Raw genomic sequence first — 16990 nt, forward strand, 5'->3', positions numbered from 1 at the left:
GACAATTGGCTATACATATTTTTGGGTTCAGAGAAGGAGGTCTGAAATGAATACACTCATTTGAGTGACAACACTGTGAATGGTGTTTGAAGTCAAGAGGACTGATGAAATTGTCTAGGGGGAGAGTGTAGAGTAACAAAAACAGAGGGCTTCATTCAGGCTAATCTTTGAGGAACTTCCTCTTTTAAAGATGATAAAGAAGGGTGAACAGGAAAGAATCTTAAAAGCAGAAAAGTTTAAACTAAACTATCTATGCTTATTTATATGGCCTTTCTGAGTGGTTTTATTGTCAATTGCCCAAGCATATCTCTCTAATAAGACTCTATTTAATTTACCATATTTTAATCACTTATTTTCTTGTCTTTTTCTTCTATTGTCCTTGAGAGTAGAGATTTTGTTCTTTAAAATCATGCTTGAAACCCTAGTGCCTAGCATGCTTCCAGCTTAATAGGCATGAAATATATCTGTTATTGAGTGGGAATACAGAGCTTTCTTAGGAAAGATGAGCAAGAGCGGAAAGCAGATTTTTCCTCACAGCCTCTTCTATGTGGGACACCATAAACATTTTATTTTAAGCCTTTTGTCTATAACTGTGAAATGGTGATTTAGGTATCAGGAAGCAGATGGGAAACTTTTTGAGGGGTAGAGGCATTTAAATTCTGCATCTGTGGTTTCTTTGCATGGATTTGCTCCTACCCCTAGACCTGTGGCTGCTAAAAGTTATTTCCAGAAGCTGTTGCAGCCAAGAGTCTGGTGTCTACTTCATCACTTTGGAGGTTGGCCTGCCTAGGTCTCCCAATAGTCCCTTTCCTTCTATTCCCTCTCTCTTGACTATCTGTTTCCCATTTCCTCTAACTTTATCCCAATTCCTCTTTGTCCAAAGAATCCCAGGGCATGTTTCATAATTATAGGCATTATTTTACTCAGGATTTATTAACATTTTGTACAGTTATCACCTTTCCCCATTTTTCCATTATGAAATACATTTTTTTATCTCATATAATTTTTACCTTTGATAATGAAGTGTGTATATTCTCTTTGATAATGGATCTAATGATAATGTGACCAGTGTGTGAAGATCAGTGGGCCTTCCTCTCCTCCCAGTTACTCCACATTCTGGCTAGGTGCCTCTGCTACTAATAGCTTAGCCTGCTGTTCCCATGTTTGAGGATTGATTCTTTTTCCTAGGCTGAGGCAAACAGTTGTAATGTTAAAGGCTTGCTGACAGCCTGTCTTTGTTGCCTGGACCGTGTTTTAATACGTGATCTTTGCTGCCTGAATTTTCTTTTTTCTAGACTACTTGATTTTTCTTGACCTGTGGAATTTTATGATTACTTGATTTGTGAATTTATCTCAAGCCCCTGGTTTTGAACCAATGACTCTATTATTTTAAGCCAGGTGTATTGTTTTTTTAGCCTGTGTCTATTATACTGTGTGTTGCTTCTTATATTCCCTATATCTAAGTAACTTGGCTGACTGGGCATTTTGTTAACTTTGGGGAGGAAAAGCATCAACATGACCTGCATAGGGCTGGAGAAGAGTGCAGTTAGCCCTTGAGGGTTGGGGGTGAATGTGTTAAGGGTATTAAGGGTGGGGAGATACTGCTAAGTTGGAGAAAAACTTTCAGCGAATTTCACTGATTTCAAATCAAGCTGAATTTGAAGTTCTTGTCTACATGAGTGAACAATTTTTAAAACATTTGAAGGCATGCATTTAAAGTGACAGCTTAATGTTAAAATGGGAAGTTATGATTCATAAGCAGTAGTAAAATTTTGAATAACATGACTTTATTCATTGACAGTAACTGCTTTACATTTTCCGGTTTCATTATATCAGTACTGTGAATAAAATCCAGAAAAGTTATAGAGGAGGAAATGACTTTGAGTTTTTATTCAATAGTCATTACTTACGTCTTTCCACATTTTTTTGCAAATTTTAAGTTTCAGTAATGATCTTGCTATTCAAATTTTCTATTTCTTACAACCATAATCTTCTAGAATAGCCACAAAGGTAGGAGTAAGCTGAAGTAAAAAGCCTGTAGGTCAGTGTAAATGCCTTTCATAAAGCCCACAGCTTGATTCAGTAAAACCCAGATTGACGTCTCTTTTCTTATGATAGGCCCAGAATTTATTTGATTTAGTTATATCTATGACATTTTATTTATTTTCTCCTGGCAACATATAGTTTCCACTTTTGATCTAGGGGAAAAAAAGGAGGCTTATAGCTGTAAAAATAGCCCTGTACAAAGTAATAGACCCTAAAGTATAACTGTGCAGAGACAATGAAGAAACAGATCACTGTTGCTTAGTAGGAATTTCTGCAATGACAGAAGTTTTTCTATGCACTGCCCAATACAGTGGTCACTAGCCACAAGGAGCTGATGAGCACTGGAAATGTGGCTATTGAACCTAAGATACTGAAATTTAATTTTAATTTCAATTTAACTAACTTAGTCACATGTGGATAGGAGCTACTACACTGGCCTAGTGCAAGTATCTACTTCAAGCTTGTCCAACCTGTGGCCCAGGACAGCTTTGAATGCCCACACAAATTCGTTAACTTTCTTAAAACATTATGAGATTTTTTTTTTCCTAACTCATCAGCTATCCTTAGTGTTAGCATATTTTATGTGTGGCCCAAGACAATTCTTCTTCCAGTGTGGCCCAGGGAAGCCGAAAGTTGAGGCACCCCTGATCTAGATCATTGTATTAACTTTCTACTGGTATTACAAAAAAATTACCATGGACTTACTGGCTTAAACAACACAATTTCATTTTAATGAATGAATGAATGAATGAATGAATGATTTTTTTTTTTGGCTTAGGACAACACAGATTTATTATTTTGTAGTTCTGGGAGTCAGAAGTCCAAAATGGGTTTTACTTGGCAAAAAATAAAGTGCCAGTAGAGCTGCATTCCTTCTGGAGGCTCTAGGGGAGAATCTGTGTCCTTGCCCCTTCCAGCTTCTGAATGCTGTCTATGTTTTTGGCTTGTGGCTCTTTCCTCCATATTTAAAGGCAGCAATGACCAGTCAAGTATTGTCATATTGTGTCACTCTGACACTCAAGTTAGAAATCTAGCACTGTTCTCACTGGGCTAAAATCAAGGTGCCCTCAGGGCTGCTTTATTTTCTGGAGGATTTAGGAGAGAGTCCATTTTCTTTTCCTTTCTAGCATTTAATGGCTGCCCATATTCCTTAGTTCATGGCCCCCTTCCTCCATCTTCCAAGCCATCAATGTTGCATCTCTCTGTCCCCTTCTTCTATAGTTCCATCTTCCTTTGCCTCTCTTCTTCTGCCTCTCCCTTACACTTATAAGGATTCTTGTGATTACACTGAGCACACCTTGATAATCCAAGATAGTCTCCTTATTTTAAAGTCAGCTGACTAGCAATCTTAAATCCCTTTTGCTATAGAACCTAATATATCCGTAGGTTCCAAGAATTAAGACTGGATATTTTTGTGTGGGCCATTATTCTGCCTACCACAGCTTCTAAATTTGGAGCCATTTAATGAAAAGACAAGGTAAGCCATATGTGTGTGTGTGTGTGTGTATATATATATATATATATATACATTGTTTGTTGGGCCTATACCTATATTTCATCCAACACAGTATAGGGTCTCAAAATAATTTAAGAACAATAGAAACTTAATTTTAAAAGAGGACTGATATGATATCTGCTCCAATCTTCTATCCCTTGTAGTTTTATTCTCTTCTATAATAGAATCTCTAGTTTATTAATTTTCTGTCATTAGTTTCCTGTGAAGGATACTCCCTACTTAACAACAAAATCAGCTGCATTGTTGTATAGCTATGGTTGTTCTAGATCATCCTATCACCTAGCCTTTACAATCACCACAGAGTAGCACGTTGGTTTCTGACTTTTGGAACAATGTTAACCTGCTTTTTCGCAGAGTTACGTATCTCAATAAATGGAATTACTACCTACATAGTTGTCTCGGCAAAATCTTGGGAATTCTTCTTTATCACCCACCATTCACCACTGTTGAATATTCTTAATATATAACTCCTAAAATATCTTTCAGATCTGTCTACTTCTTTTAAGTATTTTACTTTTCAGTTTTAGAATTTAATTTTTTTATAGTTTCAATTTATTTGCTGAGATTCTCATTTGTTTATGAATCAAGACCATGTTTTCTTTTTCTGTCATTGTTCTTTATGTATGTTCATTTTTTAGTTTTTAAATTTATCTATATTTAACTCATTTCCATAGCTTTTGAGGTACAAGTGGTTTTGTTTACATGAATAAATTGTACAGTAGTAAAGCCTACGATTCTAGTGTACCTGTCCCTGGACATTGTACCCAATATGTGGTTTTTTTAATCCCTCACCCCTCTCCCACCCTCTCCGCTTCTGAGTCTCCAAAATCCATTATACCAAGCTGTATGCCTTTGCATACCTACAGCTTAGCTCCCACTTATAAGTGAGATCATACAGTATTTGGTTTTCTATTCCTGAGTTACTTTACTTGGAATAATGGCCTCCAGCTCTGTCCATGTTGCTTCAAAGTACATTAGTTCATTCCTTTTTATGGCTGAGTTGTATTCCATGGTGTATAAATACCACATTTTCTTTATCCGCTTATCTGTTGATGAACACTTAGGTTGGTTTTATACCTTTACAATTTTGAACCGTGCTGCGATAAACATATGCATGCAAGTGTCTTTTTGATATAATGACTTCTTTTCCTTTGGGTAGATACCTAGTAGTGGGATTGCTGGGTATCTACTTTACTGCATACTCATTTATTCTGAGTACACATAAATGTGGTTGTGTATTAACTTGTGAATGCAAAACCATCTCTGCATCCTTGGGATAAAACCCACTTGATCATGGTGAATTATCTTTTTGATGTGCTGTTGGATTCGATTTGCTAGTACTTTGTTGAGGATTTTTGCATTAATGTTCATCAGGAATATTGGTCTGTAGTTTTCTTTTTTTGTTCTGTTCTTTCCCGGTTTGGGTATCATGGTGACACTGGCTTCATAGAATGAGTTAGGGAGGATTCCTTCTTTCTCAATCTTTTGGAATAGTTTCAGTAGAATTGGTACCAATTTTTCTTAGAATGTCTGATGGATTTCCCCTATGAATCTCTCTGGCCCTGGGCTTTTTCTTTTGTTGTTGGCAATTTTTAAAAATTACTGATTCGATGTTACTGCTTGTTATTTGTTTATTCAGGGTTTCTATTTCTTACTTATTCAAGCTAGGAGGGTTGTATATTTCTAAGAACTTATCCATTTCCTCTAGATTTTCTAGTTTATGTGCATAGAAGTGTTCATAGTAGTCTCGAAATTTTTTTTGTATTTCCGTGCTATTGGTTGTAATGTCTCCATTTTTATTTCTAATTGAGCTTATTTGAATCTTCTCTCTTCTGTTTTGTTTATATTTTTAAAGAACCAACTTTTTGGTTTATTGGTTTTTTGGTTTCAATTTCATTTAGTTATGTTCTGATCTTTGTTATTTCTTTTCTTCTGCTAGCTTTGGGTTTGGTTTGTTCTTGTTTCTCTAGTTCCTTCAGATGTGACATTAGGTTATTAATTTGTAATCTTTCAGGCTATTTGATGCAAGCATTTAGACCTATAATTTTCCTCTTAGCACTGCTCTTGCTGTATTCTGAGGTTTTGAAACCTTGTGTCACTATTATTATTCATTTTGAATCATTTTTATATTTCCATTTTGATTTCATTGCTACCGCAAAAATCATTCAGGAGCTGATTGCTTAATTTCCATGTATTTGTGTAGTTTTGAGGGTTCCATTTGAAGTTGATTTCTAGTTTTATTCCATTGTGGTCTGAGAAGATACTTGATTTGATTTCAGTTTTAAAAAACTTAATGAGATTTGTTTTGTGGCATGTCATATGGTCTATCTTGGAGAATGTTCCATGTGTTAATGAGAAGAATGTATATTCTGCAATTCTTGGGTAGAATATTCTGTAAATATTATTAGGTCAATTTTTTTTATAGTGTAGATTAAGTCCGGTGTTTCTTTGTTGACTTTCTGCCTCTATGATCTGTCTAGTGCTGTCAGTGGAGCATTGAAGTTCCCCACTATTATTGTGTTGCTATCTATCTGTTTTCTTAGGTCTAGTGGTAACTGTTTTATGAATGTGGGAGCGCCAGAGTTAGGTGCACATATATTTAGGATTATAATGTCTTCTTGTGACCTTTTTTGCCCCCCCTTTTTTTCTTACTATTATTGCTTTAGTCTGTTTTATCTGACATCAGAATAGCTACTCCTGCTTGCATTTAGCTTCCATTTGCATGGATTAACTTTTTCCACCCCTTTACCTTGAGTTTATTAGAACCCTTACATTTAAGGTGATCTCTTGAAGACAGCAGATATTTGGCTGTGATTTTTTTAAAATCCATTCTGCCAATCTGTATCTTTTAAGTGGAGCGTTTAGACAATTTACATTCAATGTTAATACTGAGATGTGTGTACTGTTCAGTCATCATGTTGATGTTGCCCAGATGCTTTGCTTTCTCCACTGTGCGGTTGTTTTATAGGTCTGTATTAGTCTGTTCTCACACTGCTAATAAAGACATACCTGTGACTGGGTAGTTTATAAAGGAAAGAGGTTTAATTGACTCACAGTTCAGCATGGCTGGGGAGGCCTCAGGAAGCTTACAGTCATGGGAGAAGGAAAAGAAAACATGTCCTTCCTCACATGGTGGCAACAAGGAGAAGTGCTGAGGATAATAGGGAAAAACACCTTATAAAACCATCAGATCTGGTAAGAACTGACTCACTATCATAAGAACAGCAGCATGGGGGTAACTGCCCCCATGATTCAATTACTTCCCACTGGGTCCCTCCCATGACACATAGGGATTATGGGAACTATAACTCGGGATTTGTGTGGAGACACAGCCAAACCATATCATTCTGCCTCTAGCCCCTCCCAAATCTCATGTCCACATATTTCAAAACACAATCATGCCATCCTAACAGTCCCCCAAAGTCTTAACTCATTCCAACATTAACCCAAAAGTCCAAGTCCAAAGTCTCATCTGACAAGGCAAGTCCCTTCTGCCTATTAGCCTGTAAAATTGAAAGCAAGTTAATTACTTACTAGATACAATGGGGATACAGACATTGGGTAAATACAACTATTCCAGATGGGAGAAATTGACCAAAACAAAGGGGATACAACCCCTTTCAAGTCTGAAATCTAATAGGGCAGTCATTAAACCTTAAAGTTACAAAATGATCTCCTTTGACTCCATGTCTCACATCCAGGTCATGCTGATGCAGAAGGTGGACATCCATGGTCTTGGGCATCTCCACCCCTGTGACTTTGCAGGGTACAGCCCCTCTCCCAGCTGCTTTCACAGCTGGTGATGAGTGTCTGTGGTTTTCTAGGCGCATGGTGTAAGCTGTTGGTGAATCTAGCATTCTGGTATCTGGAGGACAGTGGCCCTCTTCTCACAGCTCCACTAGGCAGTGCTCCAGTGGGGCCTCTGTGTGGGGGCTATGACACCACATTTCCCTTCCACATCACCCTAGCAGAGGTTCTCCATGAGGGCTCCATTCAAGCAGCAAACGTCTGCCTGGATATCCAGGTGTTTCCATACATCCTCTGAAATCTAGGCAGAGCTTCCCAAACCCCAGTTCTTGACTTCTGTGCACCCGCAGGCCCAACACCACATGTAAGCCACCAGGGCTTTGTGCTTGCACTCTCTGAAGCAACAGCCTGAGCTGTACTTAGCCTCCTTTTAGCCATAGCTGGAGCTGAAGCAGCTGGGATGCAGGGCATCATGTCTTGAGGCTGCATAGAGCATGGGGGCCCTGTACATGGCCCACAGAATCATTTTTCCCTCCTAGGCCTCTGGGCTTGTAATAGTAGGGGCTGCCATGAAGGTCTCTGACATGCCCTGGAGACATTTTTCCCGTTGTCTTGATGGTTGACATTTGGCCCCTTGTTACTTTTGCAAGTTTCTGCAGCTGGCTTGAATTTCTCCCACAAATTTTTTTTTCTATTGCATCATTAGGCTGTAAATTTTCCAAACTTTTATGCTCTGCTTCCTCTTGATCGCTTTGCCCCTTAGGAGTTTTTTCTGCCAAGTACGCTAGATCATCTCTCTCAAGTTCAAAGTTACACAGATCTCTGGGGCAGGGGCAAAATGCCACCAGTCTCTTTGTGTACCAAGAGCCACCATTACTCCAGTTCCCAACAAGTTCTTCATCTCCATCTGAGACCACCTCAGCCTGCACTTCATTGTTTATATCAGCATTTTGGTCAAAGCCATTCAACAAGTCCTAAAATATTCCAAACTTCTCCACATCTTCCTGTCTTCTAAGCCCTCCAAATCTCTAGGAAGTTTTAAACTTTTCCACATTTTCCTGTCTTCTTCTGAGCTCTCAAAACTGTTCCAACCTCTGCCTGTTACCTAGTTCCAAAGTCGCTTCCACATTTTCAGGTATCTTTACAGCAGCGCCCCATTCCCGTTACCAATTTACTGTATTAGTCCATTCTTGTGCTGCTAATAAAGACATACCCAAGACTGGGTAATTTATAAAGGAAAGAGATTTAATTGAGTCACAGTTCAGTGTGGCTGGGGAGGCCTCAGGAAACTGACAGTAAGCAAACACATCCTTCTTCACATGGTGCCAGCAAGAAGTGCAGAGTGAAGTGGGGAAAACCTCCCTAGAAAACCATCAGATCTTGTGAGAACTCACTCACTATCATGAGAATAGAAGCATGGGGGTAACTGCCCCCATGATTCAAATACCTCCCACTGGGTTCCTTCCACAGTGCATGGGGATTATGGGAACTACAACTCAAGATGAGATTTGGATGGGGACACAGCCAAACCATACCAAGGTCCTTGAGTTTTATGCTTTCAAGAGGTCTATTATGGAGCATATTGACCTATTGTTTCAAGATTTAGAACTCCTTTTATCATTTGTTGTAGGGCTGGTGTGGTAGTGACAAACTCCTTCAGAATTTGGTTGTTTGAAAAAGACTATTTCTCCTTAATTTATGAAACTTAGTTTTGCTGGATACAAAATTCTTGGTTGATAGTTATTCTTTTTAAGAGGCTAAAGCGGACACCAACTCCTTCTGGCTTGTAAGGTTTCTGCTGAGAAGTCTCCTATTAGTCTGATAGGTTTTCCTTTATAAGTTTTCTGATACTGTTGTCTCACTGCTCTTAGAATTCTTTCCTTCATGTCTACTTCTGAAGCCTGTTGGCCATATGCCTTGGTCATGCCCTTTTTTCAGTGACTCTCTTAGGAGTTCTTTGAGATTCTTGTATTTGGATACCTAAATCTCTAGCAAGGCCAAGGAACTTTTCCGCAATTATTCCATCAAATAAGTTTTCCAAACTTTTTGCTTTCTCTTCTCCCTCAGGAACACCAGTGATTCTTAGGTTTGGCCATTTTACATAATCCCATATTTCCTAGAGACTTTGTTCATTTCTTTTAATTCTTTTTTATTTCTATTTTTGTCTGATTGGGTTAATTCAAAAGCCTTGTCTTCAAGCTCTAAAATTCTTCTACTTGGTCTATTCTACTTTTTAAACTTTCCTCTGCATTTTGTAATTCCCCAAATGTGTCTTTAATTTCCAGAAGTTTTGATTGGTTTTCCTTTAAAATATCTATTTCTTTAGAGAATTTTTCATTCACATCCTGATTTTTTAAATAAAAAAATTATGTTGGTTTTTATCTTTCTCTTATATCTCCTCAAGTAGCTTAATAATCAACCTTTTGATTTTTTTTATCTGGTATTTCAAAGATTACTTCTTGGTTTGGATTCATTGCTGGAGAGCTACTGTGACCTTTTGGGGGTTGTTATAGAACCCTGTTTCGTATTTCCAGAATCATTTTCTGGTTTCTTCTCTTTTGGATAGATAATTTTTTCTAATTATTCTTGAATTTATTTTTGATTCTACTGTGTTTTCTTTTTTTTCCCTCTTGATGATGCGACTTTAGTATTTACAGTTTATTCTAGCCTAATGAAGCTCTTGGTGCTTTCAGGGGTGAAGACTCTGTATGAAATTCGTTGATTATAGATAGTCTTTGTATTATGGCTTTCTCAGATGTTGATTGTAGTAGCAATGTGTTCAGTGTGTGAGCAGGTTCATAGTCTCTTGTGGGGTTGAAATGGCAGAGGTCTCTTGAAGCTTATCTTATTCCCCAGTGATGTGCACATTTTAATTTATTTTTTTCCCCAGTATTTTACTTACTGGGTTGAAGAATTCAGGCTTCAGGCCAGTAGGGGAGGTGTCTGTGGGTAAAAAACCAGTGTGGCCAAAGCAGGTGGGTAAATGCAATACCCAGTGGTGGGCAGAGGTCCTAGCCTTGATAGAGGAGGCTGGGGGAGCTCTCAGTGAAACACAGTGAGTTCTCTGCAGGGGAAATTTAGGCAGCCACATTAGCTTCCCAGCCAGGCCAGCAGGAAAGCAATCTACCTCCCAGTCATACTCCTGACCCAGTGTTCTAGCTATTCACATCAGACAGGTGCCTCTTTCCATCTCCAAGAATGTTGATTCTCTAAGTAGATAGGGATTGTGACTCTACTCCTTGTGCAAGCCTGAACCTGGAGGGCACTCCTCCTGTGAGGAAGGAGTTACTCTGAACCATTTCAGAAAGGCTGTCTATAGGTGTACCCACACGAAGCTCCCATGAAAGAATCCCCAGCTGTATCTGCAATGGTGGATGAGGGGGAGAAGAAGTCCCCTTCTCCAAGACCCTTCATGAGTACCAGGGCTGCCCAAGTATTGGATAGAGCTGCAGACTTTCCCTGTGGAGTGCAGCACTTCACTTTTGCCTCTGCTGAAAGAAACTTCCCACAAGCAGAAAGTTCTGGGACTCAAGACCTGCCATCTGGATTCTTTTGTCCCATGGGGTGCTCCCTTGATGTGGTGCAGTCCCCCTTTCTGCAGGAATAGGAGTCCCTGAGGGCCAGATTACTGTGAATGATGCTGCTCCTCTTAGTTTAGCCACCCAGTGGGGCTGTCACACTCCAAGCTGGTGCTAGGGAATGTCTGCAAGGGTTCCAGTGATGTGAACTGTCCTCAAGTCTCTGAGCAGCAGGTACCAGCACTAGCTCTGATGCAGGTGGCAGGGGAGTGACATAGACTCTGTGAGATCCTTTGGGTATACATAGCCTTAGTGTGTTGGCTTTCTCAAATGTTGGCTGTAGTAGTAATGAACTGGTCATGTGGACAGACCAGGACCTTCTCATTAGCTAGGGTGATGCAGGCAATGGTGAAAGCTGAGGTCATGCACAAGTTTTCTCTGGCCTGGGCGCTGTGTCATTTTAACTGCAGATGGTGTAATGGACTGTGTTGGTTGGCTTCTAGTAGGTGGTGGCACTTGCAAAAGAGTGCCAGCTGTGGTGGTAGCAGTGGATTTTTTGTTGTTGTTGTTTCCATGAGCAAATATACAGATTTATTTTTTATTTATTTTTAAATTTTAAATTTTTATTTTAATAGATTTTAAGGGAACAGGTGGTGTTTTGTTACATGGATATGTTCTTTAGTGGTGATATCTGAGATTTTGGTGCATCCATCACCCAAGCAGTATACACTACTACACTGAATGTGTATTCTTATTTCTCATCCCACTTCCACCCTTTCCTTGGAGTTCCCAAAGTCCACTATATCACTCTTAGGCCTTTGCATCCTCATAGCTTTGCTCCCACTTATGAGTGAGAACGTACGATGTTTGCTTTTTTATTCCTGAGTTACTTAACTTAGAATAATGATCTCCAGCTAGGTGCAGTGGCTCATGCTTGTAATCCTAGCACTTTGGGAGGCTGAGATGGGCAGATCACCTGAGGTCAGGAGTTTGAGACCAGCCTGGCCAACATGGTGAAACCCCGTCTCTACTAAAAATACAACATTAGCTGGGTGTGTTGGCGTGGGCCTGTAATCCCAGCTACTTGGGAGGCTGAGGGAAAAGAATTGCTTGAACCTGGGAGGCAGAAGTTGCAGTGAGCTGAGATCACACCATTGTAGTCCAGCCTGGGCAAAAAAGAGCAAAACTCCGTCACACACACACACATACACACACACACACGCAAGAATAATAATCTTCAATTCCATCCATGTTGCTGTGAATGTCATTATTCCGTTCCTTTTTATGGCTGAGCAGTATTCCATGATATAAATATATATATATATATATATATATATATATATATATATATATATATATATATACGTATATATACACACACACACACACCACATTTTCTTTATCCACTCATTGATTAATGGGCGTTGGGGCTGTTACATATTTTTGCAATTGTGAGTTGTGCTGCCATAAACATGTGTGTGCATGTATCTTTTTCATATAATGACTTCTTTTTCTTTGGGTAGATAGCCAGTAATGGGATTGCTAGATCAAATGGTAGATCTACTTTTAGTTCTTTAAGGAATCTCCACACTGTTTTCCATAGTGGTTTTACTAGTTTACATTCCCACCAGCAGTGTAAAATTGCTCCTTTTTCACCACATCCATGCCAACATCTATTATTGGCACATAGCCACTGGTCTATGTGCCTATTTTTATACCAGTACCGTGCTGTTTTGGTGACTATGGCCTTATAGTATAGTCTGAAGCTGGGTAATTTGATGCCTCAAGAACAATATGATTTATTCTTTTCGCTTAGCCTTGCTTTGGCTATGTAGGCTCTTTTTTGGTCCCATATAAATTTTAGGATTTTTTTTTCTAGTTTTGTGAAGAATGATGATAGTATTTTTCTTTGCTTTATGTTACCCAGGGGAGGTACTCAGACAATGGATTGGGACATAGAGCTCCCCAAAAGTTCCATCATTTGTGTTAAGCTACTAGGACACATGGAGGGGCAAAGCCAAGTCGTGGGCGCTGGGTCAGGCAAGTATGTGTTCTGGCTCTCCACGTGTGGGCACAAGCAGTGGCTCCAGAGGGGATTGTAGGGCAGTTCTCTAGCTGCTGGGGTAATGTTCCAGGGAGGAGCACAACTGCCTCTGTTGTACAGAAGAGTCTTCATGGGGAGTGGGGAGTAGCAGGTGACAGTAAGCCCTACTTAGCTCCTATGCACTTGGCAAGGCTGTTTTCACACTTGCAGTGTTCCACTAGCAGCAGCTAGCTAGTTTCCAGGCAGTCTGCATCAGGACTCAAAACTTCCCCAGGCCATAAGCTTTCTCCATGGAGACAGAAACCACTGTGCCCAGGCCATGCCCCTCCCAGCCTGCCCTAGAAGCAGGGGCACACTGCTTCTGTGCTTGTGGCTTCAGCCCACTTCCCACTCACCCCTCAGTTCTGGCCAAGGGAGTTCATCCGTACTTGAGATTATATTGTGAATCTTAACTGGGGGCTTCTCCCAACCTGTTGTGTCCGGAATTGGTGGGTTCTTGGTCTCACTGACTTCAAGAATGAAGCCGCGGACCCTCACAGTGAGTGTTACAGCTCTTAAGGTGGTGTGTCTGGAGTTTTTTCCTTCTGATGTTCGGAGTTTCTTCCTTCTGGTGGGTTCGTGGTCTCACTGGCTCAGGAGTGAAGCTGCAGACCTTCGCGGTGAGTGTTACAGCTCTTAAGGCAGCGCGTCTGGAGTTGTTCGTTCCCCCCAGTGGGCTTGTGGTCTCGCTGGCTTCAGGAGTGAAGCTGCAGACCTTCGTGGTGAGTGTTACAGCTCATAAAAGCAGTGTGGACCCAAAGAGTGAGCAGTGGCAAGATTTATTGCAAAGAGCGAAAGAACAAAGCTTCCACAGCGTGGAAGGGGACCCAAGTGGGTTGCCACTGCTGGCTCGGGCAGCCTGCTTTTATTCTCTTATCTGGCCCCACCCACATCCTGCTGATTGGTAGAGCCGAGTGGTCTGTTTTGACAGGGCGCTGATTGGTGCGTTTACAATCCCTGAGCTAGACACAAAGGTTCTCCATGTCCCCACTAGATTAACTAGATACAGAGTGTCAATACAAAGGTTCTCCAAGGCCCCACCAGAGTAGCTAGATACAGAGTGTCAATTGGTGCATTCACAAACCCTGAGCTAGACACGGGTGCTGATTGGTGTGTTTACAAACCTTGAGCTAGATACAGAGTGCCGATTGCTGTATTTACAATCCCTGAGCTAGACATAAAGGTTCTCCATGTCCCCACCAGACTCAGAAGCCCAGCTGGCTTCACCCAGTAGATCCCGCACCGGGGCTGCAGGTGGAGCTGCCTGCCAGTCCTGTGCTGTGCGCTCGCACTCCTCAGCCCTTGGGTGGTCGATAGGACTGGGTGCCGTGGAGCAAGGGGTGGCACTCATTGGGGAGGCTCAGGCCACACAGGAGCCCATGGAGGGGGTGGGAGGCTCAGGCATGGCGGGCTGCAGGTCCCGAGCCCTGCCCCGCAGGAAGGCAGCTAAGGCTTGGTGAGAAATCGAGCGCAGCGCTGGTGGGCTGGCACTTTTGGGGGACCAAGTACACCCTCCGCAGCCACTGGCCTGGGTGCTAAGTTCCTCATTGCCCAGGGCTGGCAGGGCTGGCCGGCTGCTCCAAGTGCGGGCCCGCCAAGCCCACGCCCACCCGGAACTCCAGCTGTTCCGCAAGCACCGCACGCAGTCCCGGTTGCCACTCGCGCCTCTCCCTCCACACCTCCCTGCAAGCTGAGGGAGTGGGCTCTGGCCTTGGCCAGCCCAGAAAGGGGCTCCCACAGTGCAGCGGTGGGCTGAAGGGCTCCTCAAGTGCCGCCAAAGTGGGAGCCCAGGCAGAGGAGGCACTGAGAGCGAGTGAGGGCTGTGAAGACTGCCAACATGCTGTCACCTCTCACTGTGACCACTGCCTGTGTCAGCTGGCAGACTTCTGTGAGGTCCCTCCCCTGTGAGGTAGGATCAGGAATGGCTTCCCTCTATCTCTCCTGGAGACTGGGAATGCACACAAAGCATGTCTCAATGTTACTCTTTCTCATATACTCCCTACTGCTCCCTATAACAGCTCCAGTGCTGTATAGGGTTAAGGCCTTCCCCTGTGCTTGGGTTGCCAGGTTCCCCAGTAGGAGTGTATATCCTGGAGGTAGTTTATCCCTCTCTCACATTCAGGGGACTTACGGTTTTCTGCCTGGCTCATGGTGTAGGCTGAAGCCTGCCACTTCATTCAAAGGGTCTGTGGTTTCTTTTAGTTTTCCTGTTAAGTTCCTGTATTGCTTCTTGGAGAAAAGTTCACAGTGTGAATCTCTGTGCACTATTTTGTCTTTCCAAATGGAAGAAGCATGCCACCAATAACTCCAATCTGCCATCTTGGAAAAAAATGTACATATATCAAGACGATATTTTCATTTCATTCTTTGAACATATTTTCTCTTAATTCCTTGAACATATTTAAAATAGCTGTCTGAAAGTCTTCTGTAAATCCAACACTTGCGGCATCTTGGGATTGGTTTCTATTGATTACTTTTTTAAAAAAAACTGTGGATCACGTGTTCCTTTTTTCTTTGTGGATCTAGTCATTTTTTTATTGTATGAGGGACATTGTAGACAATATATTGCAGACACTCAAATCTGTTATTTTTCTCTGAAGAGTTTCATGTGTGTGTGTTTTGTTTGTTTAGAAGGCAGTAGAATTATTGGCTGATCACATTGAACTTAGATAGGCATGGTTTTATGCTTTGCTGGAATGGTTCTGTGGAAAGCTCTAGGTGCTGCCTAAGCCCCTATAAATTACTAGGACTTAACTTACAAATTACTTCCTCTGAAGATCTTGTCAAGACTTAGTTCTAGGCTTTTCTTGGACTAGTTTAGTCTGTATTCATAGGGCAGTGTTTCTCTATCTTTTTTTTCATTACTATAAAAGAGATTTTTAAGACATTTTTTTCCCAGTTTTGCTCCCCCCTCCTCCATGAAGTTTTAATACCACAGATATAACTCTATATCTGTTTATGTACTGTGGTTCTTTGAAGAGGTACAAAGCATTGTAATATCTAAGATTCTTTTTGCTCCCCGCCTCCCTGCCAAGAACTAATTTTCATCCGTTGGGGATGATATTCCCCTTGTTGCGAATGCATTTTCTATGGTGTGGTCCTAAGGTAAAGCCTTTCTGATATCTCTGCTGGATGCTCCAAAGATTAATAAGGTGTTCATGGGTTTTTTTTTTTTCTTCCCTGGCTGTGCCAGAATGCCAGTATCTTCCAACAATGCTCAAAATCTCATACATCTTTTATGTTTTTAATCCTATAGCAGCCACTCTATAAGCTTTGGGTAGTGCTGTCCTGCCCACGTACAGCCCATCTCTCAGCAATGTACTTGCAGGGGGCTCCTACACGGACTTTGAGGACCCCATGTTGCATGGTTTCTTCCTCTCTGGTGCCCTGCCCTGCATGTTTTAACTTTTAGCACTTTGAATTCTGCCTTCTTATCTCAGTAAGACTGCTGTCCTCTGCTTGGACTCTAGCTCACTTTACTGTGGTTGGGAGTTGTCCTGGCACAAAGAGATGGGAAATTGGGATTACTTTGTGAGTTTTTATTCTCTCAGAGATTGCAGTCTTACACTGCCCCCTTCCCAATGCCTGAAAATAGTTGCCTGTTTTGCCCAGTTTTATGGTTCTGTGGTCATTTATGGAGGGACAGTACACCTATACCAATAACTACAGTTTCTCTGACTTCTTTTGGAAGCAGAAGTCCTCCTTCTACTACTTTCAATTCTCATCTGCACCTAGTACAGGTGATAAGCATTCTATCAGAATTAGGACAATAATTTTCTAACAGGTCTTCTGATCTCCTTACTTTCAGCCTCCATACTACCTCCAGAGTGAACTTTTTGAAACACAAAAACACAAATCTCCTGTCATTCTCCTGTTTGGAACCCTTATTAGGCACTCCTTTATCCTTAGGATAAAGTTCAGTCCTTTAAAGTAGCTCACAGGTCCCCCTCTATGATCTTTCTTCCAGCTCTCTCTCCAGCCTTGGCTTTCACTCTCGACCTTGAACCTTTGTGCATGTCATACTACTTTTTTCAGTTTGTCATATGTGCAGTGGTTTTACTTGCCTCCTTGCCTTTGCAC

General features: G+C 41.4%; 1 protein-coding gene across 1 annotated transcript in view, besides 1 other annotated feature; it reads left to right on the forward strand.

Annotated features, from left to right (window-relative positions):
- The window catches only part of CPQ (carboxypeptidase Q), a 498260-nt gene that overhangs the window by 59645 nt on the left and 421625 nt on the right, over positions 1–16990 (forward strand). The window lies entirely within an intron of this gene.
- Positions 14527–15027: an enhancer, noted in NCBI's record as "H3K4me1 hESC enhancer chr8:97731641-97732141 (GRCh37/hg19 assembly coordinates)". NCBI's record gives its function as "activates a minimal SCP1, AML or CMV promoter by ChIP-STARR-seq in naive H9 embryonic stem cells {active_cell/tissue: H9 hESC(naive)}" and the evidence as "EXISTENCE:reporter gene assay evidence [ECO:0000049][PMID:30033119]".

This window comes from Homo sapiens, chromosome 8 (assembly GCF_000001405.40).
Source record: "Homo sapiens chromosome 8, GRCh38.p14 Primary Assembly".
Classification (NCBI taxonomy): Eukaryota; Metazoa; Chordata; class Mammalia; order Primates; family Hominidae; genus Homo; species Homo sapiens.